At 51.3% G+C, this 25824-nt stretch overlaps 1 protein-coding gene and 2 pseudogenes across 8 annotated transcripts in view; 1 reads left to right on the forward strand and 2 right to left on the reverse strand.

The window, feature by feature from the left end:
* RNA5SP379 (RNA, 5S ribosomal pseudogene 379) lies at nucleotides 342–454 on the reverse strand (annotated as a pseudogene).
* ANKLE2 (ankyrin repeat and LEM domain containing 2) overlaps nucleotides 1900–25824 on the reverse strand; it is a 36330-nt gene continuing 12405 nt past the window's right edge. For 2 of the 8 annotated variants that reach the window (NM_015114.3, XM_005266159.4), the window contains exons 4-13: nucleotides 24535–24728; nucleotides 24229–24417; nucleotides 19551–19673; nucleotides 17816–17882; nucleotides 13290–13462; nucleotides 11803–11909; nucleotides 10782–10972; nucleotides 6076–6667; nucleotides 4429–4560; nucleotides 1900–3840 (exon numbers count right to left, since the gene is read on the reverse strand). In NM_015114.3, the coding sequence (NP_055929.1) occupies nucleotides 3639–3840; nucleotides 4429–4560; nucleotides 6076–6667; nucleotides 10782–10972; nucleotides 11803–11909; nucleotides 13290–13462; nucleotides 17816–17882; nucleotides 19551–19673; nucleotides 24229–24417; nucleotides 24535–24728 (1970 nt within the window). In that variant the 3' untranslated portion in view covers nucleotides 1900–3638. The other 6 variants (XM_006719735.2, XM_024448899.2, XM_011534787.4 and 3 more) reach the window with 6 other exon arrangements.
* Nucleotides 21418–21823, forward strand: LOC100419935 (TPD52 like 2 pseudogene; annotated as a pseudogene).

A 25824-nucleotide genomic window follows, 5' to 3' on the forward strand; every position in this document is an offset into this window, starting at 1 on the left:
GTGGAATGACCACACATCAGCTGGCCCCAATGCCCTGCGCAGCCCACGGCCACTCCCATCGCTCACGTCATAGACGTGAGTCGCACTCATGTGAAGATCTGGACAGACTACCTGGTCTAAAGGGGGAAGTGGATGGGAGACCACGAGCAGTTTTCAATGGATCACAAGAAACCAGTGACCCAGAGTCTTCAAATCCTTCTGCAAAAAAACAAACAAAACCCAAAAGGAAAGAAAACCTGATTATGCTGCTTAAGTCAAATCTGAAGTCAAGGATTTTGAAAAGTTAAGCCACAAACTCAGTGTGTGACTAATTCTTTAAGAGCGTACAGCAATGATAACCAAGTCTACAGCCCTTGGTATTCCCAGGCAGCCTCCACTCCAAGTCCTAACCAGGCCCTGCTTATCTGCCAAGATCAGAGAGACTGGGTGTGCTCGGGGTAGTATGCCCATAGATGATTACCTAAGTTTCTTGAATATGAAACTTTAAATAATTTTTAGTTTCTTTTTCTAGAGTAAATTCCCAGCAAACTTTTTTTTTGAGACATACTCTGGCTCTGTCACCTGGGTTGGAGTGCGGTGCCACAGTCTCGGCTCACTACAACCTCCGCTTTCCAGGCTCAAGCGATTCTCATGTCTCAGCCTCCCAAGTGGCTCGTTCTACAGGTGTGCGTCACTGCACCTGGCTCATTTTTGCATTTGTGGTAGAGATGGGTTTCACTATGCTGGCTAGACTGGTCTCGAGCTCCTGGCCTCAAGTGATCCGCCCACCTCGGCATCCCAAAGCACATGAGCCACTGTGCCTGGTAGACTTCCCTTCTAAAATACCTGCTGTTCAAAGTGGTTCTTCCTTAAATGGCCTTTTCCAGTCTTCTGCATGTGGGACGGACGTAGATTAGCAAAGTGAGGATGGCTCCCGGTTTGGCTGGTAGCTGGTGGGGGTCTAATTTCTGAATGCTGGACTCAGGGCAGGTATGGCGGGGGAGAAGGCAGGGAGGGGCAGGCAGGAGACTGGGGAGTGGGGAGCTGACCCATACCAGGGCAGCCCCCAGGGATCTTCAGTGTGCATGTTGTGAACGCCTGCGTGGAGGGAGCCGCATGAGGGGAAGGCTGAGGGTGTCTGGACTGGGTGAGTTACAGGGGCCCAGCGACGTCAACGATGGAAACCGTCCCCTGGTTTGGGACAGACTGAAGACTTCTCACATGTTAGTAACGATAGCCTCTGTCTGGCCAAAGTGAAAACTGCACACCAGAAGCCTCAATGAGACTGGTGGGAAAGGCAATGCCACCAGATGGCGGCCAGCTGCCAGGGGTCGCCATGCCGACGTTTATCCCAAAGCCTTTTCTAAGGAGGGAGCACGGGCGGGAATCTGCAGCTGGAGCAGTCACAGGGTTTCCAACCACGACAAACACGCCTGCACCCCGCACGCACAGCCGGGCCCCAATGAGGGTTTCCATCAGCCCTTCCCTGGGAAAACTCTGCAGGCTTCTGGAAACATCCACACGGCTCTGGAGGACCTGGCTGTGGTCCCTGCCATGGCGCCGCTGGCACTCCCACGGCTGGTACGCAGCACCATGGCTGCTTTTACCCAGAAACGAGCAGCAGACTCACCGGGCGCCTCCCTCACAGCTGCCACCACGCTGGAGAAGGGCACTTTCCAACCAAAGCCACCACAGCAACTGTTAATGTCACCAAGGTTTCCCACTGCCAAGAGCAACGGTAAAATCTGTGCTCTTTTAACGGATGCCAGAAAATCTTTCACAACTGAGTCAAGAAAGGGGCTTAAAAACAGCGAGCGAATCTGAGGGCACCCAGGTTGATGGCCGTCCAACCAAAACAGTGCCGTGCGCCTGGGCACAAGTGAGGGATCCTTCCGAAAGCTTGCAATTATTACCACGCGGTTTTGAAGTAATTCATTTCATTAAGTGTTTTGTGAAGGACATAACCCCCCGGGACACACGAGAATGCCTCCGTTGGGACTGGAATCGCTGCCCACAAACAAACGGAGAAACAGTCAAAGGTGGCCTAAGACCTGGGAAATCAGGAGCAGTGGTCCACATACAAAATCAGGGCCAAAACGTTTTACTTTCCATTTGAATTTACAACCATATACAGACAATATGGTAAGATTTTAGAGAAAACAGATCATCACTACGAATATCCATATTCTGATTTCTTTTGAGAACCAAGGTGCCTTTTAAAATGCGGCTTTTTAGAATAGCATGTGTTGTTTCTGTCTGGGATCTAGATCTTGTCTGCTACAAAACAAATGAACACACCCTGTGTAACAAAATCGAATTTTAACATTTAAATCTTGATTCCAATATTCCTGACCTATCTCTTGTCATATGAAAGAAAGAAGCCTTTTTTTAAAACAAAGTTTCAATTCAGAATTTTTACAAACAAAAACAATCCTGCGTCTACTTAATATCCCTGTATATCCTCAAAAAGCAAGTTCAGGAAATTTAAAAATGATTTATAAAAGGCACTGAAGTTAGCAAAAGCATTGGTGGGTTTTCATTTTGGATTAAACACTGGAAATGTTCACAGAGAAACAACTGTGTGAGCAGTTGCCCGTAACACCCAGGAAGAAACCGACCTCCAGGCAGCACCTCCTGAACACCTCAGCGGCTCCTCACACATTCCAACCACAGACCTTCATTCAAGTCAAGGTGAAGGCTACAGTCAGCACGGCAAGAAACCAAGATGGGACTCAAACCTCTAAATGCAACACTCTGCATACAGGAGATCCCAACTGAAATGAGTTCCAAAATAACGGATACCTTTATCGTATAATCATTTATGCTCAACAAAGCCTCAGGATAAATTTGAAAACAGAACAATGTATAGACTGTATTACTGCTGCACTGGCTCCTGAATGAAGCAGGCGGTGAAGGCTCACGTGCTGAGGAAACAGGGAACACCTTGGCGCCGCTGCTGAGCTCTGTGTTGCTCCTGGTATCACTCCCACGGGCTGCAAGACTTCCCAAGAGAAAAGCTACTTTCATCTTCTGATCAGTAATTTAAATATTCCGAACAACCCAAATCACAATGGTTGCTGCAAGTCTGAGGCGCGCTCCTGGCTCCCTGATCCCTGCCGTCCACCTCCCTCTGTCTGAACCATGAGACCCACGGGCGAACCAACAGGCACTCTGCCACCATCAGATGCCACCCCCCAACCCAGGAAAAGACAGGGCGGCAAATAGTTCATCTTGGTGAGTGCAGGTTATCAAAGGGACATCGGTGCTCACGCCTCCGCCAAGCCCCTCCTCATCCACAGCGTCTGTCGGATGAGGTGAGTACAGGGTAAGTACAGGGCTGCCTGCCTGCAACTGCCTCAGCGCCCTTTCCTCTGCTATATTTCAGACCTAGAAATTGCCACCTAAAAAGTCTACCATTACCACATGGATATTTTCCAGAAAATTGGTAACTGAGTTTGCTTTCATTAACTTCTAACTTCTTCCAAAATATCAGAAATCTAAGTGTTATATAGAACATTTAAATCTTCTAAAATTCTCACACCCTCAAAGTGAGGAGTAATAATTTAATCAGAATATATTCCTTTTTGACAGTTTAGCAATAAACATATGACCCTTCCTTCTTTAAAAATGAAGAACAAACCGAGAGCCCAGCGCCAAGCCTACAGGGCGGCAAGCTCAGCCAGGCGCGCCATCCTGCGGAGCTGGCTCCCGTGCACGGGGCTGTAGCGCCCAGGACTGCCCAGGCCTGGCTTTGCGGGGTTGCTTCCAGCCACGCTGTTTCTCCCCGGACTGTAGCTGTGAGGGCCACTGAGATCTGGCAGCTGAGACTTGAACCTTCCTTTCACCGCGGGACTGGGCCAACTGCGGAAAGCAAGAAAGAACTGTTAGCAGACGGGCACAGGCCCGGAGATGAACAGCAAAAGTCGGAGAATAATGGCCCCAGACTCAGGCACATGCGCCCGGGCGGAGGAGAGGCACTGGTGAACCCTGGCACCGCGGGCACACACGCCCGGGTGGAAGAGACGCACTGCTGAACCCTGGCACCGCGGGCACACGCGCCCGGGCGGAGGAGACACACTGCTGAACCCTGGCACCGTGGGCACATGCGTCTGGGTGGAGGAGAGGCACTGCTGAACCCTGGCACCGCGGGCACTGGGAGAGTCAAGCTCATGGGGGTTTCCCGGAGAATCCTGTGTGATCTGAGTAGAAACCCTGCTGCTTCCACCCTTCTAGCCCTCAGCTTGTCAGGAGCTGACCCGTTCAGCTTTTCCACCCAACCAGAGCTCTGTCCTGTGTGCAGAGAGCCACAACACCCAAATCCACAGCCTGGCTGACGGGCCTGCCAGCGTTGGGAAAAGCCACTGATAGGTTCGCATGAAGTGGAACTGGACCCTGCAGAAGTTTCCAAAAGCTGCCCTGCGGGTGACAGGCTGTCCGGGCCCCACATACCTCTGTCTGTCCGAGGGTGAGTAGCACAGGACAGCACTCTTCCATCTGTGCACGGCCGGGAACTGATGGGGGTCGACGTCTGCACATTCAAGAGCGGCCAAAACATCCTGATCGAGTTTTGATGGCTCCTCTCTAGAAAGCACAATAAAAGAAGCAAAAACATCTTTGGTAAAAACATAAAGACTTCTAAAATACCACTACTTTTTTTTTTATTTTGAGACGGAGTCTTGCTCTGTCGCCCAGGCTGGAATGCAGTGGCGTGATCTCGGCTCATCGCAAGCTCCGCCTCCCGGGTTCAAGCAATTCTCTGCCTCAGCCTCCCGAGTAGCTGGGACTACAGGTGCCTGCCACCACGCCCGGCTAATTTTTTGTATTTTTATTAGAGATAGGATTTCACCATCTTGGTCAGGCTGGTCTTGAACTCCTGACCTTGTGATCCACCCACCTCGGCCTCCCAAAGTGCTGGAATTACAGGCGTGAGCCACCACACCCAGACAAATATCACTACATTTTAAACTCAAGAACCCAGCACACAAAACAACAGTGTGCAAGGATCGATCTGGCCTGAGCAGATGGAACCAGGGAACCAGCAGCAGCATGTCAGGGCATTAGCTCTGCAGAGGGAGGCATCTCCCAAGGCCAGGGAGGCGGATGCAGACTCGCTGTTCTGTGATGAGAAGAGCAGGGGCCAGGGAGGAGTCGCCTCTGGGTGCACGCCTGCATTCTCTATGGTAGCAGGATCCACCCGCTGTTAAAATGCAGTTTTGCATACTTGCACCCCCAGAGGGTGCTCAGTACCAGAAGGTTAGGGACATTTATCCCCTGTTAGATTGAGATTGACCCCAAGATGGCTTTTCTTCCTAGAAGGATTTAGAAGAGATCATTCACACCACTGGCAGGCACATCCCTAGCAAATAACAGCCAACACTAGGATCACCCACGGTCCAACCAGAGGAAGACCCAGAAAGAGCATCTAGAAGCTGGACTCAGAGACAGGAACTGAACGCACACGGCAAGTCCACACAAAAGCTTGTGTGGAGGCCGGGTGCGGTGGCTCACGCCTGTGATCCCAACACTTTGGGAGGCCGAGGCAGGTGGATCACGAGGTCAGGAGTTCGACACCAGCCTGGCCAATATGGCGAAACCCCATCTCTACTAAAAATACAAAAATCAGCTAGACGTGGTGGCAGGCGCCTGTAATCCCAGCTACTCAGGAGGCTGAGGCAGGAGAATTGGTTGAACCTGGGAGGTGGAGGTTACAGTGAGCTGTGATCGCACCACTGCACTCCAGCCTAGGCGACAGAGCAAGACTCCATCTGAAAGAAAGGAGAGGAGAGGAGAGTCGAGGGGATGGGGTGGGGGGATAGGGGAGGGGGAGGTGAGGGGGAGATGAGGGGAGGGGTAGGGGAGGGGGAGATGAGGGGAATGGGAGGGTGGGAGGGGAGGGGGAGGGGAGGGGAAGGTGAGAGGAGGGGGAGGGGAGGCAAGGGGAGGGGGAGGTGAGGGAAGGGGGAGGGGGAGGTGAGGGAAGGGGGAGATGAGGGGAGTGGATGGGTGGGAGGGGAAGGGGAGGGGGAGGTGAGGGGAGGGGGAGGGGGGAGGGAAGGTGGGGAAGGAAAGTGAGTGCAGAGGGCAACACACTCCTACCCAAAAAGGAAGAGCCGCCTGGCCGGTTCCCTGGTGACCTCGAGCTGATCCTCGTGCCTGGGGCTGCTGGGACTCAAGGACATTTTAGCGATCCTGGCTGACATTTCACTTTCTGTCCTCCTGTGGCCATTCCCGAGTTGGTCTGCGGGAGAAGGCTCTAACAAGTCTCTTTCTACTGCATTGATTCTTGAAGTCAGGATCTGATCTTTAGTTTTTGTACTTTCATCTGGTGTCTTGGAAACGCTACGTCCTATATTTTGCAAATTCAGTTTATCAAACTCAACAGTCAAATCCGAGACAGGTGGCAGATGGGCTTCCTCCCCACGGGGGGCCTTTGGTCTCTTGCCCGCCAGGGTCCTGCTGTGATTCAGAGGATGGCAGAGCCCATTTCTGCTGCTGTGTGGACCTCCCGGCTCGGCGGCTTCTATGAGGTCTGCCTCCTGCTCCAAGGGGAAGGCGCTGCACCTCGTATGTCCAAAAGCACCGACTGTGGGCGGGCTGTTATTTCGAGCTGCATTTTGCCGATTTTTTATTTCTTCCAAGCTCATGTCATCTTCATCTAGAAACGCCCTCACGGAAATGGAATTGCTGCCTGTGAGGACAACAAGGAGCACTTCAGTGATGGGAACGACAGGAAGCCACGGAGCTGCTCCGCCCCATCCATGACCAACTGCCGTGACCCCAGCAACAGCAACTCTTATACCCAAAACCTCCCCACTCCATCCGCGACCAACTGCCGTGACCCCAGCAACAGCAACTCTTGCATCCAAAACCTCCTCATCAGATTTCAGGATGGAAAACCACCCACACGACTCCCTGGAAAAGGGCAAACAGGACCCTCCAGACACAATCAGGCTGCTGGGGCCAGGCACAGAAGCTCACGCCTGCAATCCCAGCACTCTGGGAGGCCATGGCAGGGGGGTCGCTGGACCCCAGGAGTTCAAGACTGCCTGGGCAACATAGCGAAACCCCGTTCTCTATAGAAAAATTAGCTGACATGGTGGCACGCACCTGTAGTCTCAGCTATTTGGGAGGCTCAAGTGGGAGGATCGCTTGAGCCCAGGAGGGGGAGGCTGCAGTGGGCTGTGACTGCACCATTGCTTTCCATCCTGTGCCACAGAGTGAGACCCTATTTCAGACGAGGAGGGAAATAAAGCTGCCAGGCTGACTTTTCTTTCAAAGGCAGGGACATGAAAACGCCAAGGGCAGCCCAGGTGATGGGCGAGATGACTGCCCTGCACCCCCAGCCACCCTCCAGCTCCGATCTGCTGCGACCCCAGGGGCTCCGAGTGTCACAGTGCCCCAGAGGATCCCGAAGATCGTCCAGAACAACTCCATGAAGTAACCCTGCTGCGCTTTAGGTGTGAAGATAACACAGAAGAGCTCCCGGGCGCAGCACTGTGCGACAGGCAACAGAAATGTCCCGTTTGGTGTTCACGATGGTGGCCGCGGCCACAGGAGGATCCAGAACACTTGAGCTGTGGCTCCTGCTACTTAGGAAATGCCTCAACTTTATTTAATATTTACTAATTAAAATGTACATAGTCACAAGACAACACTGTAAATGAGGCCGCTTTACAGAAGTGAGTTCTGTGCCACCATCAGCTACAACACAGCAAGGTCAGACTTCAATGATTCCTGTATAACGACGGCACTGACGTCGCTCTAGTTCTGTGGTTCAGAGTCACAGGTCGTGACTGTTGAAGATTCACTGCTTCTTAGTTTAATGTATGTCAATCATTTTCATTTTCTATCATTCCAGGGAGTTTGTTTTATAAATGAAGTGTCTTGCGGGCTAATGGTTCTATTATGACCTTACACACACAAACTCACACAGACACACACTCACACACACACACACACAGTTTAAACTGTATATCTGCTTTAATTTGTATTTTAGCAGATTCGAATCTCTAGTTATTAGCAAATTTCTGTTTTTTTAAAAAAATAAATAGAGACAGAGTCTCACTATGTTGCTCAAGCTGCCTTCGAACTCCTGGGTTTCAGCAATCCACCCACGTTGGCCTCCCTAAGTGCTGGGATTATAGTGTGAGCCGCCACGCCCGGCCGCTGGGATTGCAGGCCTGAGCTCCCGTGCCCGGCCATCGTTGATGTTTTTATGAATCACTTTTAGATTTTGTAGATTAACCTCTTCCATCATGCTCTTTCCATTCAGTGCATCTGTGCTTTGGAAGCACTTTGCATCGTGGTGTCTGATATGCACCGTGTGAAGTGCTTTGCGTGTGCGTCCTGGTGTCTGATATACACCGTGTGAAGCGCTCTGCGTCCTGGTGTCTCATATGCACCGTGTGAAGCGCTCTGCGTCCTGGTGTCTGATATGCACCGTGTGAAGCTCTCTGCATGCTGGTGTCTGATGTGCACCGTGTGAAGCGCTTTGCGTTTGCGTCCTGGTGTCTGATATACACCATGTGAAGCGCTCTGCGTCCTGGTGTCTGATATACACCGTGTGAAGCGCTCTGCATCCTGGTGTCTGATACGCACCGTGTGAAGCGCTCTGCGTCCTGGTGTCTGATACGCACCGTGTGAAGTGCTCTGCATCCTGGTGTCTGATACGCACCGTGTGAAGCGCTCTGCATCCTGGTGTCTGATACGCACCGTGTGAAGCTCTCTGCGTCCTGGTGTCTGATACGCACCGTGTGAAGCTCTCTGCGTCCTGGTGTCTGATACGCACTGTGAAGCGCTCTGCGTGCTGGTGTCTGATACGCACCGTGTGAAGCTCTCTGCGTCCTGGTGTCTGATATGCACCGTGTGAAGCTCTCTGCGTGCTGGTGTCTGACATGCACCGTGTGAAGCTCTCTGAGTGCTGGTGTCTGATACGCACCGTGTGAAGCTCTCTGCATGCTGGTGTCTGATATGCACCGTGTGAAGCACTGCGCGTCCTGGCGTCTGATACGCACCGTGTGAAGCTCTCTGCGTCCTGGTGTCTGATACGCACCGTGAAGCGCTCTGCGTGCTGGTGTCTGATACGCACCGTGTGAAGCTCTCTGCGTCCTGGTGTCTGATATGCACCGTGTGAAGCTCTCTGCGTCCTGGTGTCTGATATGCACCATGTGAAGCACTGCGCGTCCTGGTGTCTGATATGCACCGTGTGAAGCTCTCTGCGTCCTGGTGTCTGACGTGCACCATGTGAAGCCCTCTGCGTGCTGGTGTCTGATATGCACCGTGTGAAGCGCTCTGCATCCTGGTGTCTGAAATGCACCGTGTGAAGCGCTCTGCATCCTGGTGTCTGATATGCACCGTGTGAAGCTCTCTGCGTCCTGGTGTCTGAAATACACTGTGTGAAGCGCTCTGCGTCCTGGTGTCTGATATGCACTGTGTGAAGCGCTCTGCGTCCTGGTGTCTGATATGCACCGTGAAGCGCTCTGCATGCTGGTGTCTGATACGCACCGTGTGAAGCTCTCTGCGTCCTGGTGTCTGATATGCACCGTGTGAAGCACTGCGCGTCCTGGTGTCTGATATGCACCGTGTGAAGCTCTCTGCGTGCTGGTGTCTGATATGCACCGTGTGAAGCTCTCTGCGTCCTGGTGTCTGATATGCACCGTGTGAAGCACTGCGCGTCCTGGTGTCTGATATGCACCGTGTGAAGCTCTCTGCGTCCTGGTGTCTGACGTGCACCGTGTGAAGCTCTCTGCGTCCTGGTGTCTGATATGCACCGTGTGAAGCGCTCTGCGTCCTGGTGTCTGACAGGCACCGTGTGAAGCTCTCTGCGTCCTGGTGTCTGATATGCACCGTGTGAAGCTCTCTGCGTGCTGGTGTCTGATATACCCCGTGTGAAGCACTGCGCGTCCTGGTGTCTGATATGCACCGTGTGAAGCTCTCTGCGTGCTGGTGCCTGATATGCACCGTGTGAAGCGCTCTGCATCCTGGTGTCTGAAATGCACCGTGTGAAGCACTCTGCATCCTGGTGTCTGAAATGCACCGTGTGAAGCTCTCTGCGTCCTGGTGTCTGAAATACACTGTGTGAAGCGCTCTGCGTCCTGGTGTCTGATATGCACTGTGTGAAGCGCTCTGCGTCCTGGTGTCTGATACGCACCGTGCAAGGCGCTTCGTGCCCTGGTGTCTGATATACACCAGTATTCTGATGTGCACTCGTCTTTTTCCTGAAAATATACCAAATCTAAAATATCAGGCTCAGCCAATGGAGTTCAGCTATTATGAGTTTTGAGAAAACGGCACAGAATGAAACTATATTAGATTTTGGATAATGCAAACACAAGCAGAAACAGCAATACTGCTCAAAGCGATGCCATTATTTTTCATGTACCCTCCCCGACACACAACCCATTTAACATTAACCTTCCCAGCACTCTAGTGGATCACGAGGTCAGGAGTTCGAGACCAGCCTGGTCAATACGGTGAAACCGCATCTCCACTAAAAAAAAAAAAAATACGAAAATTAGCCAGGCGTGGTGGCGGGCGCCTGTAGTCCCAGCTACTCAGGAGGCTGAGGCAGAAGAATCGCTTGAACCCAGGAGGTGGAGGTTGCAGTGAGCCAAGATTGCGCCACTGCACTCCAGCTTGGGTAACAAAGAGAGGTTCCGTCTCAAAAAATACTAACCTAAGGGAAAGTACCAGACCTTTACGTTAAAAACACCAAGAGACGAGAAACAGATGTGCGCATCCCGTCAGACCCCGGCCATGGGGGGCCCCTCCCAGCTGCCACAGCCACGCCTGCACATGCTTACCAGACGTGGTGGCTTTATCTCGGCAGGAGGCTTCCCGTTCTCCTGTTTCTTGTTGAGCCTTTTTGCCTATTTCCTGCTGTGTGAGATATTCTTCTAGTCTTTGCAGGCCTTCCTGGGAAGACAGATCAACAAAACAGCCCAGAAATTCCCAGTATTCAACCCAGGGATACCCCAGCTCATGAGCTAGCTCCCTGTAAGAAACAAAACACAATTAACCAGCTGTGAAACCAGAAAAAATACTCAGAACTACACAGAAAAAAGCCACTAAAGCTTCAAGTACCAAAGCAATGTCTGCAATCATGGTTATAATTTTCCTTTATCCTTAACTGGCAGCTGAAATCATACGGTGCATTTTCTGAAACAGCACGCCTCCTCACAGGTAAGCAGGACCCGGCACAGCTCTCAGGAGCCGTGAACCGGCTGCAGGCAGGAAGGAGGCCTCAGCCCGACAGACCCTCACGCCAGCAACCCAGGTCACACAGTTCAACTCCCACAGACGGACGTGTTCATGATCACGGAACAGCCCTGTGAACTTGCCCGTGGTTCTAGTCATGGCCAGGCACACGAAAGCCTGGAGGTCCTTTCTGGGTTCCAGTTGTACACCTGACACTGGGCACATATTTTGAGAAAATATTCTAAACAATTCCACGAAGCTTTATTTGATTACAGCATAATTTAGCTTTGTGGCTATGGCCTATTTTTTCCCAAGGAATCCATAGCATTATATGGTACCTTCTATAAAATATTAAGGTTCCTTAGAAACATGTCCCAGAACCAACAAGGAATTCCAATTAGAAAAGGAAAGGAAGGCACTGCAGACATCCCCCAGGTCTGGGACGGGACTGGCTTAAGCTAGAATTCCACAACATCCACAAGGAATTAGACCTTCACGAAAAGGACCAAGTCTCCCAGAAAAGCCTTCTGGAAATTGGTACTTTGAAGCTGTGATTTGACCTTCTGTCATTAATCAAAATGCAACCAACTGTGTGCCCCACGCTGCTGCGGCTCAGCCTTTCAGTACCTTCCCACTCTCTCAAAGCCTCTTTCCGGGTCCGACTTCTTGACGTGGTGAAGGAAGCCTGCTTTCTCTCGAGGTGGAGTTTTCCAGAGCTTGCGAAAATCTTCTGCCTATGAAGAAAAAAAAATGTATTGAGCCGTGTCAGGCACTGCGCCCCTCAGCTGCGGAAACCTGAAGAGCCGTCGTCATCGCAGTAGCTGCCTGTCTCCGCACACCCTTCCTTCTCTCCCCTTCACTAGCAGATCCCTGGGCCACGTGCCCACCTGTGGCATGGCTGAGTGGCCGCACGGCTGCACTCTGACCTGGGGGAGGGGAGGCGGTCTCCTTTCTTGCAGCCCCGTCTGGGCTGTGAGGTTCAGAACCAGGAGGGCCCGAGCACGAGGCCTCACCCTGAGGACAGTGGACGGCTCGGAGCTGCCACCCCGACGCACATGTGACACTGCTCCCATCGCAGGAGAAGAAACCAGATCTTTCTCAGTCACTCTCCCTAGAGCTTTATGCTTTATGCATCTCACCTAACCTTACCTGATACCACCTAATTTTGGGGCCATTTTCTTTTTTGTTTTGGAGACGGAGTCTCGCTCTGTCGCCCAGGCTGGAGTGCAGTGGTACGATCTCGGCTCACTGCAAGCTCCACCTCCGGGGTTCAGGCCATTCTCCTGCCTCAGCCTCCCGAGTAGCTGGGACTATAGGCGCCCACCACCACGCCCGGCTAATTTTTTGTATTTTTAGTAGAGACGGGTTTCACCGTGTTAGCCAGGATGGTCTCGATCTCCTGACCTCGTGATCCACCCGCCTCGGCCTCCCAAAGTGCTGGGATTTCAGGCATGCGTCCCGGCGCCCGGCCTGGAGCCGTTTTCATCGCAACTGATTTAGAAAGTTTCTAGCACAGGATGGTGCGTGCAGGTCAGTGTGTGAAGTATTCCAACAGGAGAAAGAATTGTCAACTGTAAATAAAAAAGTGTACAACCTTTGACCCAGCAACACCACCATTAAGGATTTCTCTGAACACTGGGGATGAGTAGAACCTGGGGCTGAGGCTTCCAGGAGAGGGACTTGTCTGAGAGGAAGCCAGCGGGGGCTGCAGCCACAGGGAAACGTGGTCAGGAGGTGGACGTGCAGATGGAGCTTTCCTAGTCACAACGGGCAGCCTCGCTACACCAGCAAGGTGCCTAGGACGGGCCATCAACACAGCAAGAACAGGGCGACACGCGCACAGGACGGGGCTGGCCCAGGGAATGTCTGCTTTGTTGAGACAGTGGCTCCCAGCACATCGGCCCTGGTAAGCAAGCCACAGAGCCAAGAACACACATTTCTCTGACAAACGTTCTCATCACCAATCACTGGTGGATGGTTTGAGATGAGGACAACCTTGGGGCTCCACAGGACATGGTCCCTGAGACCACGCACAAGGCAACAGGCTGGAACACCCAGCAGCACAGTATAGGGACAGCCAGGCACCACTTCCAGAAGCTTCTACAGCAGCTCACCTTGGCTGGACTCAGGGGCCCTGCGAAGGCTCTCAGGGTCAGTACCGGGTCTCTGGGGCTGCCTCCATAGCGGCTGACGTGAGAGGCCTCAGCCGTCTGGTCTGGGGACCACAGCTCCCCGATGACTGGAGAAGAAGTCTCTTCCGCTCTCAGGAGGGGCACGTAGTAGTGGCCTGAGGGAGGAGACAGGCACTGGCTGCAGGCTTCCGCCCCCTCCGCAGGTCAGGCCTGGGTGAGCAGGACGGGGATCACGCGAGCCCTTGCCAAGGCCTCTGCAAATGGATCCAACAGACGGGGCAGAGGGTGGTTTCCGCCAGAGCTCACTGCACTTAATGCAAATGGATACAATGGAAACAAAGTCACACAAGGTCTCAGAGCTCACTTCACTTAACCAGCCTCATTTTCCTCCACTGCTACAAGAAAAGAAAGAAAAGAAAAGGAAGCCCCAGGTAGTTAAAGGACTAAGGGGTCGGACCTGAGTGAATAAGAGTAGCACACAGTAGGAGCTTAATACATTTTAAAAATGTTATATTTCATTCCAGCCGGGTGCGGTGGCTCACGCCTGTAATCCTACCACTTTGGAAGGCTGAGGTGTGTGGATCACCTGAGGTCAGAAGTTCAAGACCAGCCTGGCCAACATGATGAAACCCCATCTCTACTAAAAATACAAAAATTAGCCGGGTGTGGTGGTGGGTGCCTGTAACCCCAGCTACTCATGAGGCTGAGGCAGGAGAATCACTTGAACCTGGGAGGTGGAGGTTGCAGTGAGCCGAGATCACGCCACTGCACTCCAGCCTGAGCGACAGAGTGAGAATCTGTCTCAAAAAAACAAAAAAAAGTAATATTTTATTCCTTCTCTCCTTTTTTTCTCCTCTTAGTTTCAGACAGAGTCTCATTCTGTCACCCAGGCTGGAGTGCTGTGGTGCAATCATGGCTCACTGCAGCCTCGAACTCCCAGGCTCAAGGGATCCTCCCACCTCAGCCTCTTGAGTAGCTGGGACCACAGGCATGCGCCACCACACCCGGCTAATTTTTACTTTTTGTAGAGATGGGGTCTTGCTCTGTTGCCCAGGCTGGTCTCGAACTGCTGGATGCAAGTGATCATTCCACCTCCACCTCCAAAAGTTCTGGGATTACAGGTGTGGGCCGCTGTGCCCAGCCTCCTCGCTTCTCAGTCCTGCTTCTCTTGTAGTTTATCACAGGTGTGGGCTGCTGTGCCCGGCCTCCTCGCTTCTCAATCCTGCTTCTCAATCCTGCTTCTCTTGTAGTTTATCACAGGTGTGGGCCGCTGTGCCCGGCCTCCTCGCTTCTCAGTCCTGCTTCTCTTGTACTTTACAATTTGCATCACTGAATACGCATCTCTCAACAGATCTGGAATCACACGGCACTTGGATGTGAGTATGGAAAAAGCACAAGGAAGAGTAGTGTCTTCAGGTCCCACGGGACAGCGCAGTCAAGCCATATAGGATAGTGTCGTGAGGTTCTGTAGGTTGCACGGAGGCCACACACCACCTCGTCCTGCTTTCAAACCCAGCTCCTGGAGACCCAGAGTCAAGAGGCTTCCTTTACAGTCAATCATGCTACTCTGGAATGCCTGGGAATTTCTTATGTTAAAGGCTTATCATAGTTTCATAGTTTTTTTTTTTTTTGGAAACAGAGTCTCGCTCTGTCACCCAGGCTGGAGTGCGGTGGTGTGATCTCGGCTCACTGCAAGCTCCACCTCCCGGGTTCACACCATTCTCCTGCCTCGGCCTCCCAAGTAGCTGGGACTACAGGTGCCCACCACCACACCTGGCTAATTTTTTGTATTTTTAGTAGAGACGGGGTTTCACCGTGTTAGCCAGGATGGTCTCGATCTCCTGACCTTGTGATCCGCCTGCCTCGGCCTCCCACAGTGCTGGGATTACAGGCATGAGCCACCGCACCCGGCTGCTTATCATAGTTTTTATGCTTTTAATTTTTTTCTAATTGTAAAAGTGCTGTATGCCCATCAACGGTCAACTGGATAAAGAAAATGTGGTACATATATACCACAGGATATTAAGAACAAGATCATGTCCTCTGAAGTAACATGGCTGGAGCTGGAGGCCATGACCCTAAGGGAACTGACACAGGCAAGAAAACCAAACATGGCTCTCACTTATGAGTGGGAGCCAAACGCTGAGCACACATGGACACAAAGAAGGAACAAGAAGTCAGCAGGGCCTGGTTGAGGGTGGAGGGAGTGAGGAGGAGGGAGAGGATGGAAAAACTACCTCCTGGGTACTATACTGATCACCAGGTGAAATAATCCGTACCCCAAACCCCGGTGACATGCAGGTTACCTATATAACAAACCTGCACACTTACCCCTGAACCTAAAATGAAAGTTAAGAAAAAGTACGACAATTTCCATTCAAGAGTACTGAAGGTACTGAAGAATTTCCATTCAAGAGTACTAATTTTCCATACTGAAAATTAGGGCAATTCAAATACTCTGTCTTACATATTACTATCTTATATTTGGATGCATCCTATGTATGTTGGCATTTTACAGGTTAATTGGCAGTTTTTTCCCTCTTTCAGTGGCACAGGAAAAGAAGACATACAGTATGTACAGTATAGGGTGCATGGTAGGTATACGGTACAATTTACCTACACTTTACTCATAAAATACTAATGTTTACTTTTTTGGCATATTGATTTGAGTCCCTTTTAACAATTTCTGTCTACAGATGGGACTCACGGTCTCTGGACAGTTTTGTGCCTGGCTTTCTGATCCTATTTGTCTCTCATAACACTTTAGAGTCCTTCCTCATCTTCACACAAGCGTGGGTCTCTCTCTGAGTGACGGGAAGGGTGGGATGCAGGATGCAGCCAGCCCTGTAGCAGGCTCTGTGGCATGTGAAGCTACAACGTGACCGAGGCCCCAGCGTGACCACAGATGCTGACCATGCCTGGGCTTCGCATGAGCCTCAGAAGGACCAGGAAGGAGGTGTAGGAGCTCTGGAGGTGCCGTGTAGCTCAGCCCACAGGAACATGGATCTCACAGAGCTGCCTTCTCCTCAGCAAACAGCTGCTGGGGCAGATCTTAGAGGCGACAGTGTTTTACTGTCACACATAGGCAAGGATCTCTCAGACAGAATTGCTTCCTAAATACCATCACAAAGCAATGCTTAATGTCAGCGTTGCAAAGCATTTCTGACAGTGTGGTTTGAAAATCCGGAGCAGACTCTCGGCTCTTCAGGGATGTTCTGGCAACATAGCTGTGTGTTCCCAGGGCCTCTGAAGGTTCCGGCTGGGCCTCTGCAGCGACGCCTCAACGGCCCTGAGGAGGAACTCTCGCCGCTAACAGCATGCAGGATTCATTTCCTGTGCACAGCTACACACACTGAAGAAGTGTAATTAATAAATTATACCTAGGACGGGAACAGATCAGGGGACAAGCAGAGGCTCTTCACACCTTAGATCACGCTTGGTAAACTTCTATAAAATGTCAGACAGTAAATAATTAGGCTCAGTAGGCCACAAGTCACTGTGTGCTGGGAAAGAACCCGGACAGTGTGCAAATGGTGGTGACAGCTTTATGCTGATAAAATTTTATTTTTAAAAGCAGTCATTTGCGGACCCTGCTTTAAATAGAGACAGAGTTTTGGATAGGAATGGAATCCGAGAGAGAGGAAAGCAGGCAGGTGGGTGAAAGGACCTCAGCGTCTGCTTCAATCTCACCAGCAAGCAGAAGCTCCAGACTTCGAGCTAAGATGGCAAAGAAGAGGCGCTTCTAGAAGTGTCATCTTCCAAAATTCACTGAAAACAGAGGAAGATGGCAGGGAAAAGCCATCCCTGAAACCAGCCGTTTTCACATGCCTGGCACCTACAAACCGCAAGGCACAGGGGCCAACAACTAGAAGCTGCTGACTAGAAGAGGGCGGCCCAGAAAGCAAAGGCCTCTCTCCCAGAGGCGAGTGGGGAGGGAACGTCCCGGAGGCGAGTGGGGAGGGAGTGTCCCGGAGCCAAGACAGGAGCCTGGGCGTGCACCAGGAGTACAGGAGGAGGAAGGAGGCAGCTTCAGAATCGAAGGAGTGACAGGGAGCGACCCCCACCCCAACACAGGCAAAGAGACACACAAAAGCCAGGCCAGCCACCCAGCCAAGGAGCTCTGGACCCTGCCTCTCCCTGAGCTGTTCTTTGCCAACTGCAGGCTCCACCTGAAGAGAAGCCATCACAATGAAGCTACTGCGAGAGAGACCGATGGATCCAGGGATGAGGCCACCAGCAACAGGCAGCGACACACAACCTCAAAAAAGTTCTCTCACAGAAAGCTCAAGGAACAGATACAAGACTTCAGAGAAGGGATAACAGAAAAAAGGTGGCAAATGAGCTAGGAGAGCTCAGGAGAAGAAAGGATGATCCCGAGGAGAGGCTTCCGAGGGGAGCCGGCACACGCCCGGGGAGCTCAGGAAAGCAAAGCTCTGCTGTGTCCCCCAACGCTCCAAGGCCCTTCCCGGCGTGGACCCCACGATCCAGGCACCAACTCCCCATCTTACCCTTTAAATACTCTCTGATCCGCTCCTTCAGTTCCACAGATTTATTTTTGCTTCTTTCACAAATTACCTATTGGAAAAAAAAGTGTGTCTAAATCTTATTTGATCGCAACATTTCCTTATCATTACAATGATTTCAGAAAAATAGTTTTAAACTCAGTAAAGTAGAATAGTATCTTAATGCTAAAGATTTAATAAAGCTCACACTCAGAAAACGTGTGAAGAGTGTGGTCTTTCTAAAAGTCTAAGGAGACAGCTAGGAGAACACACTCTGGGATTATGGGTAAATTTACTTCTTGTTTGCGCTACTCGACATTTTCTAACTGTCTGCAAGGAGAGGAAAAGGTACCAGCGCATCGAGTAAAAGCAGAAGCACGTGAACATGTTTCTAACCTTCTTGGTTGGTTGAGTTCCACTTACAGGAAGCCTGGTCATACACAAACTTTTTGTTGTGAGGCTGGGTCAAGGTGGAGCTCCTAAGTAACACGGAACATCAAAGTTCTATTTTTGCCACTAAAGAAATCAACTTTCTCAGCCCTTGAAGAATTGCAGCAATACGAACTTTTGCTAGAAACTATAGAAAAACCAACAACCTTCAAATAAAAGGAAAGAAAGGAACCAGCCTATGAGAGAAACTAATTAAAACTATGAATGCAACTACATTTTTGAGTCTGTACCTGATTGTGAGCTTTAAAAAGTCAAATGCTTTTTAAAATGCCAGGAGTTTTAAGTTGGTTACCAAATGCCATTCTTATGTTGAAGTACAGATACACACACACACACACACACACACACACACACACACAAAAAGAATCACATGTATGCAAAATAATAGCAATTTCTCAGTTGTAGAATTTTCTGGTGAATTTTATTCTTTTTGATCAAGCAGTATTTTAAGTTTTCTATGGCAAGTGGATGTATAGCTTATGTAATAACAGCAATTACAGAAGGGGTGTGGGAGAGGCCACTGCCACCAGAAGATCCTTATAGCTTTTATTTCTAAAGGGCTGCTAGACAAGGGACAGCTCACAGCTGTAATACACAGAAAAATCAAACTCATCTTTCAGTTCTCAGAAGGTCCAGATACTTCTTGCACTTTGTGGGCACAGAATATACTTCTGCCCTCTGCAAGGTGCACTTTGCTCAACTGCTCAGGATCATGACGAGGCCTGACTGAAGGCTTGTCTGGGTCCGATGAGTATGTATGTGTGAGAAGCTTAGCACAGCACCTGGTGCACACTGAGCTGAATACAATTTAGCTGCTTTCAGCATCATCATCCTTACCACCATCGTCACCATCATCACCACCACTGCCAACACCACCATGATCATTGCTATCTCCATCCTCACCACCATCATCCTCACTACCACCATCATCACCATCACCATCATCATCACCACCACCATCACCACCTCTGTTCTCTCTGACTCTGGTCAACTGATGTGTTCAGAGAGGGAACTTGATAAAAGACTGTGAGCTGTTCAAAGCAACTGACTGCCAGTTTTAGGAAAATAAAATCAGCAAACTGCGTCAGTTCCTTCCCTCCTGGTTCTACAGATGCATCTTCTTCACAAAGTGCATCTTACTCAACAGCCAAGGTTCTAACATGTGCCCATAAAGCAAACACAACTCATACAGAGCTCCTTGTGGCTTCCCTGTGCCTGTGATCACAGACTGTAAATTTATATATTTCCATTTCTAACTCTAGATAGCAACTGCATTGTAATAAGTACTTACATCTTCAGGTGTTTTATCATATTTATTCCTTGAGTTTTTTACAATCAAATGGTGTGACGAAAGCACGTTGACTACATCTGCATTTCCAAACTTACAAGCAAAATGCAACGGTGTGTCATAGCCCTGAAAAAAGGTGCAGAGGAAGTACAATTATTCACACTTGTCTCATGAGGTTGCTCTAAGGTGAAAATACATATTCATTCATTCATTCATTCATTTATTTATTTTGAGACGGAGTCTCACTGGCGTGATCTTGGCTCACTGCAACCTCTGCCTCCCGGGTTTAACCGATTCTCCTGCCTCAGGCTCCCCAGTACCTGGGACTACAGGCACCCGCCACCACACCCAGCTATTTTTTTTTTTTTTTTAATATTTAGTAGAGATGGGGTTTCACCATATTGGTGAGACTGGTCTCGAACTCCTGACCTCAGGTGATCCACCTGCCTTTGCCTCCCAAAGTGCTGGGATTACAGGTGTGAGTCACCGAGCCTGGCTTATACTTTTTTAAAAAAAAAAAGACTCACAAACAAAAAGGCCATAAAAGACTCTGCTTTTATAATGGAAAAATAATTGGCATTCTAGCACATACCCACTTCGTGCCAAGGCTTGAGCTTAGCATACTGACCTGGGTGCCCAGACCCTGGAGGAGCTTAAATTCTCCATAAACAGTGAACAGCAGCTTTAACCATTCAGGGCCCAGTACAATGTCATGTAAAACATGCCCAGGAAGTGAAATACACAGATGAGGACCACAACCAGAATAAAGCAAAGCGCACGAATTTGGTCTGTACTCAAAGAAGTCTCTGCGGCCTGTGACACCACAGTAAACGAAATTTTTTTCACTGCTGACGATGCTGCATCGCGCCCTGGCTGGGAACCCAGGTCTCCGTCCATGACGCTGCGTCACGCCCTCCTTCCCCGGATGGTGTCACAGGTCTCCACACCATCTGCCTGGAGCTCCCACAGCTGCACCTCTATCCTTCCTTATGCTCTGGGCAGTCTCAATGTCACCTTCAACTGTGGCCTACAGACCAGCGGGCCTCATGGTCAACAGTGCCCCTGAGCCCAAGACCTGAAGGGCCAACTCCCTCCCAGTCACCTCACTTGGACATCCCACAGGCAGCTCCACTGCACCGTGTAGAAAACAGAATTCATTTACACCTAGCACAGCCAGAAACACCTTCTCTCGTCACCTCTGATTACCAAGATTCTGGCTGTGAAGTGTCCGGTGGCATCGTATGCCATGGCAGCCATCCCTAAGCTTCTGCACAGGGAAGAAAAACTCATCATGGACCCTGCGGCCTGCACTGACACCCCCGCCTCCACTCCCTGGCAACACAGCCTAGGTCACCCGCAAATGTCCTCCTACAGCTCCCTCCCGCCATCACCCACTAGAGGTATCCCTTACAACTCTCTCACACGACCCCAAAAAGGTCTGGATGTTTGCATATACCACCACGCTACCTGTACTCCATCCTTCTGTCCAGGGGCTGGCAAGCTTTCTTGGACAAGGACCAGATAGTAAGCACTATAGACTTTTTTTTTGAGACAGAGTCTCACTCTGTCGCCCAGGCTGGAGTGCAGTGGCGTGATATGGGCTTACTGCAAGCTCCGCCTCCCGGGTTCACGCCATTCTCCTGCCTCAGCCTCCCCAGCAGCTGGGACTACAGGTGCCCGCCACCACGCCCAGCTAATTTTTTGTATTTTTAGTAGAGACGGGGTTTCACCGTGTTAGCCAGGATGGTCTCGATCTCCTGACCTCGTGATCCGCCTGCCTCGGCCTCCCAAAGTGCTGGGTTTACAGGCGTGAGCCACTGCACCCGGCCTCACAAATCTTTCTTAAACTACAATACTGGCTACCATTCCTATTAAAACAGCCAGCAGAGGCAGCTCCCGGGCAGCGTGCGTGCAGTGAGCAACCCTGCTGCTGCCTGCTCGGCTCCCACAGCCCATCACTCGGCTCCCACAGCGCCCGCACCGCGGCCCATGACTGCCTGAACACAGACGCCGCCAGCCAAGATGTCAACCCGAATTCTCCTCACAAAGGCCTGCCGTCCAACTCCATGACCAATGTCCCTGTTGACACAGGTGGGGCTGCCCAGGCTACTGCTGTTGAGGGTCTGACAGAGGCTGAGGAGGAAGAGCTCAGGGCCCAGCTACCAAGACGGATGAGGAAACTGTCACTCTACACCAGTGCTGGCAGCCAAGGAGGGGGACTGTGGAGAGCTTGAGAGGAGGCTGGGCCTCTCTGCCTTGGAGGCTGAAACGGAACCCTCTCTAACGCCTATGTGAAGACTTCTGAGAAATGTGGAAGTGGAATGAGAAAGTGGCCCACCCGGATCTCTGCAAGACTCAGGAAATGCTCCCACAGCAAGACAGAAGACCTCAACCAAGACAGAGACCTCAGCGGCCCTGTCCATGGTGGGCTCTGCCATCAGTAGGAAGCTCGGAGACGTAAGGAAATTTGCAACTTTCAAGTCGTTTGAAGACCAAGTTGGGCCCATGAAGTCTAAGGTCGTGGGTGACAGAGAACAGCAAGGACAATCTCCCTTCCTCAGCAGGGAGGGGCGACGAGCCCGTCGGATCCCGCACCTCTCTAAGCCTGTGGTCGCTTACGCTCAGCTGCAGAGCACACACACACACCCTCAGCATCACAGCCGGAGCTCTGAGCAACAAAGCGGCCAGCCAGGACGCACACGCAGAGCCGGCTTTGAGAATAGTCCTGCCCATCCACAAGGAGACGTGGCTACCGCATCCACATGAATTTCAACAGTTGTGTACATAGTTATATACTAAAGTTTGTAGGTGAAACAGATAACTGTGCTGTCCTTCCTAGGGGTACAGGAAGTGGACAGGGCGGAGGATTTGAAATACTGAGCCAAAGCCCAGGCTCCCTTTAAGAATCACGTTAGTGGCCAGGCACGGTGGCTCACGCCCGTAATCCCAGCACTCTGGGAGGCCAAGGCGGGCCGATCACGAGGTCAGGAGATGGAGACCATCCTGGCTAACACGGTGAAACCCCATCTCTACTAAAAATACAAAAAAATTAGCCAGGCATGGTGGCGGGTGCCTGTAGTCCCAGCTACTCGGGAGGCTGAGGCAGGAGAATCAGTTGAACCCAGGAGGAGGAGCTTGCAGTGAGCCGAGATTGTGCCACTGCACTCCCACCTGGGAGACAGAGCAAGACTCTGTCTCAAAAAAAAAAAAAAAAAAAGAATCAGGTTAGCCCATCAGAATGTTGAAGCATTGAAGAGTCCTACGCATAAGTGGCATTTTTGACCTCCTCCTTCCCTAACTCACAGAAGGAATGCAATCACCCAGAAAGCCCTACCTGTTCCATGAGTTTTTATCTTGAAATGCTAAACAAGAAGTGTCCATTTCCTGCCCACAGAAAGTAAACTGAATATCAACAACTGCCCAATTGTTGTACTAATCTAGCTTTAATGAAAAGCAAATTCATTATTTTTTTTTAATGCAGTGGACTTTTCAAAAATCGAAATTAGGCAAAGCAGCTTTAGCCTCCTAGTGAGAGAATATTATTTCTTTGGACTCAAGCTGAAATTCAAGCCTCACATTACCTCATGCTTTATTTATCATAAACATATAAATGAGGGTTGCTCAATGGCTGTGAGTACTGTGTGGGATTTTACACCTGGCCTGTGTGACTGCCTGTTCCAGTTGGGGTGTTGGTTTCACTAACACGCTCCATCCCAGTGTATAAAACTTGCTTCTCTTCTCAAGCAGGGCAGCTCCCCTGGCTCCCTACTCTGCCCTGAAGGACTTTTGGGCTCCCAGGGGTGGGAGGGGCTAAGAGAAGGAAAAGCCTGTCTTTAGCACCCTTTAGAAGAGCTGTGCCCGCTTCCCAGTGCTGCCTTGCATGGGCCTGGCCCGGGGGGCACTCATCAGTGACTCCAACCCGCCTGCTGGCTGCACTTCAGATGAAATGACCCCACAGGTCAGGTGGAGGGTGGGGCATGGGCATCGGCCAGGATTGCTGTCACCTTTTCTCCGGAGCTACCAAGATCGTTCCTGTTTCTAAGCAGTCGCACCCCAGCAGCCTCTCTCTCTCCACAGCCCTGCGTGTCAGGCAGCCTCTCTCTCACACCACAGCCCTGCGTGTCAGGCAGCATCTCTCTCTCTCCACAGCCCTGCGTGTCAGGCAGCCTCTCTCTCTCTCCACAGCCCTGCGTGTCAGGCAGCCTCTCTCTCTCTCCACAGCCCTGCGTGTCAGGCAGCCTCTCTCTCTCTCCACAGCCCTGCGTGTCAGGCAGCATGGTTTGCAGGGGCAGCTCTGTGCCTCAGTGGCTCTTGGTAGGACACTGAGGGCCTGCCTGTGGTGTGCACAGCTCTGCCACTCCCGGGAGGGGAAGTGCTGCTCAGCTCAAGGTGTCCTGTTCGGCAGAGGAAATGTCCTCTGACAACCGTGTCCCCAGACAGTTCAGACACCCTCGGGGACAGCATCGCACACACGACGACAATGCAGGGGCCAGGGAACCCCAGCGCTCGGTGCCCTTTGTCCAGTGGGATGTGGTAAGAAGGCAGGTTGCAGGGGTGTAATTGATGTATCTTTTCCCCAAAGTTATTATACTAATGAGTAACTTGTCGATAAAGCATTCTTTTGGGGAAAGACTTTTAACCAATTAAATAAAGAAAGCGTGAGTGGAGGGTGTGCACGCACCATCTTGTCGGGGGTGTTGAGGTACAGGTCCACCACGTAACGGATACGCTTCTGCAGCATGGCCTCGTCGTCATCAGGGTACATCAGCCTCATGAAGTCAGGGTTCTCCAGGACGTCCAGAGTCAGCTGGCAGATGGAAGCCTGGTTCTCTTTGGCAGCAACATGCATCACGTTGTACCTGCACCCTTCCTGAAAGAGAACCGCATGCTCTGAGCTTCCTATCTGATGTGTGGACACGCCCTGTGCGAGTGCTGCGATGGAACGGCCGGGACCGCACACCTGCCCGAGGGAACCGCCGAGACCTACCTGCACGATAGTGGGGTTGTCTCCTGAGCCTATCAGATACCGGGGGTTGCTCCAGATAAGGTCAGAAAAGGTGTCCTCCTCTCCCTTCTCCACAGCTTTCCGAAGCTTGGCGGTGAGGTCCTGCGTGCGGGGATTTTTGTAACTGTTCGCTCGCTCTTTGTTGACTGTTTCTGATTCCGACAAGCACAAACCATCTGTCAGTAAGAGACAGAATTTAAGAACAATCAGTTTCACCAAAAGTCACTCATCACCCATGCACCCTCTGATGAGGGATAAGCAGCTTTCCACAGAGGCTTCTGGGCCAACTGGGAGGCACAGGTGAGAAAAGACGAGAAGGGCCCACGGCCACCGGCCCCAGCATGCAACGCAATCAATGGCAGCCAGCGTGCCCGTCAGCAGAGCAAGTGAGGGAGAGCAGCCAGACCCGGCCACAATCTCACTGGGGGCCCCAGCCTACAACGGCAGCCAGCGCGCCCCCATGAGCACAGCAAGTGGAAGAGCAGCCAGACCCTGCCACAATCTTGCTGGGAAAGGCTCTGTGAATGAGGCCAAGTTTGGTGAACTTTGTGTTTTTTCAGAGACAGGGTCTGGCTCTGTTACCCAGGCTGGAGTGTGGTGGCACGAATATAGCTCACTGCAGCCTCGACCTCCTGGGCTCAAGTGATCTCAGGCCCTCAAGTAGCTGGGACTACAGTTGTATGCCAACACGCCTGGCTTATATACATATATATATATATATATATATACACACGTATTTTTAGAGATGAGGTCTATGTTGCCCAGGCTGGTCTCAAACTCCTGGCTTCAAGGGATCCTTCTGCCTCAGCCCCCAAAAGTGTTGTAATTACAGGGACGAGTCACCACACCCGGCCAGTGAACTCTGAAAGCTCGGTCAGTAGGTGGAGGAGGAATAACGGCAGCAGCGGGCAAGGGAACACTCCCAGAAATCACGCAAGACCTTCGATGTGCACAGTGTGGCTGCAAAGGATTACAGGATTAAGGAGCCTGCCACCACGCCCAGCTGATTTTTTTGGGGGGGACGCAGTTTTGCTCTTTCGCCCAGGCTGGAGTGCAGTGGCGCGATCTCAGCTCACTGCAACCTCCGCCTTCCAGTTTCAAGCAATTCTCCTGCCTCAGCCTCCCAAGTAGCTGGGATTACAGGCACCTGCCACCACGGCCAGCTAATTTTCGTATTTTTAATAGAGACGGGGTTTCACCATGTAGGCCAGGCTGGTCTCAAACTCCTGACCTGAGATGATCCACCCGCCTCAGCCTCCCAAAGTGCTGGGA

This window comes from Homo sapiens, chromosome 12 (assembly GCF_000001405.40).
Source record: "Homo sapiens chromosome 12, GRCh38.p14 Primary Assembly".
In the NCBI taxonomy this organism is placed as follows: domain Eukaryota; kingdom Metazoa; phylum Chordata; class Mammalia; order Primates; family Hominidae; genus Homo; species Homo sapiens.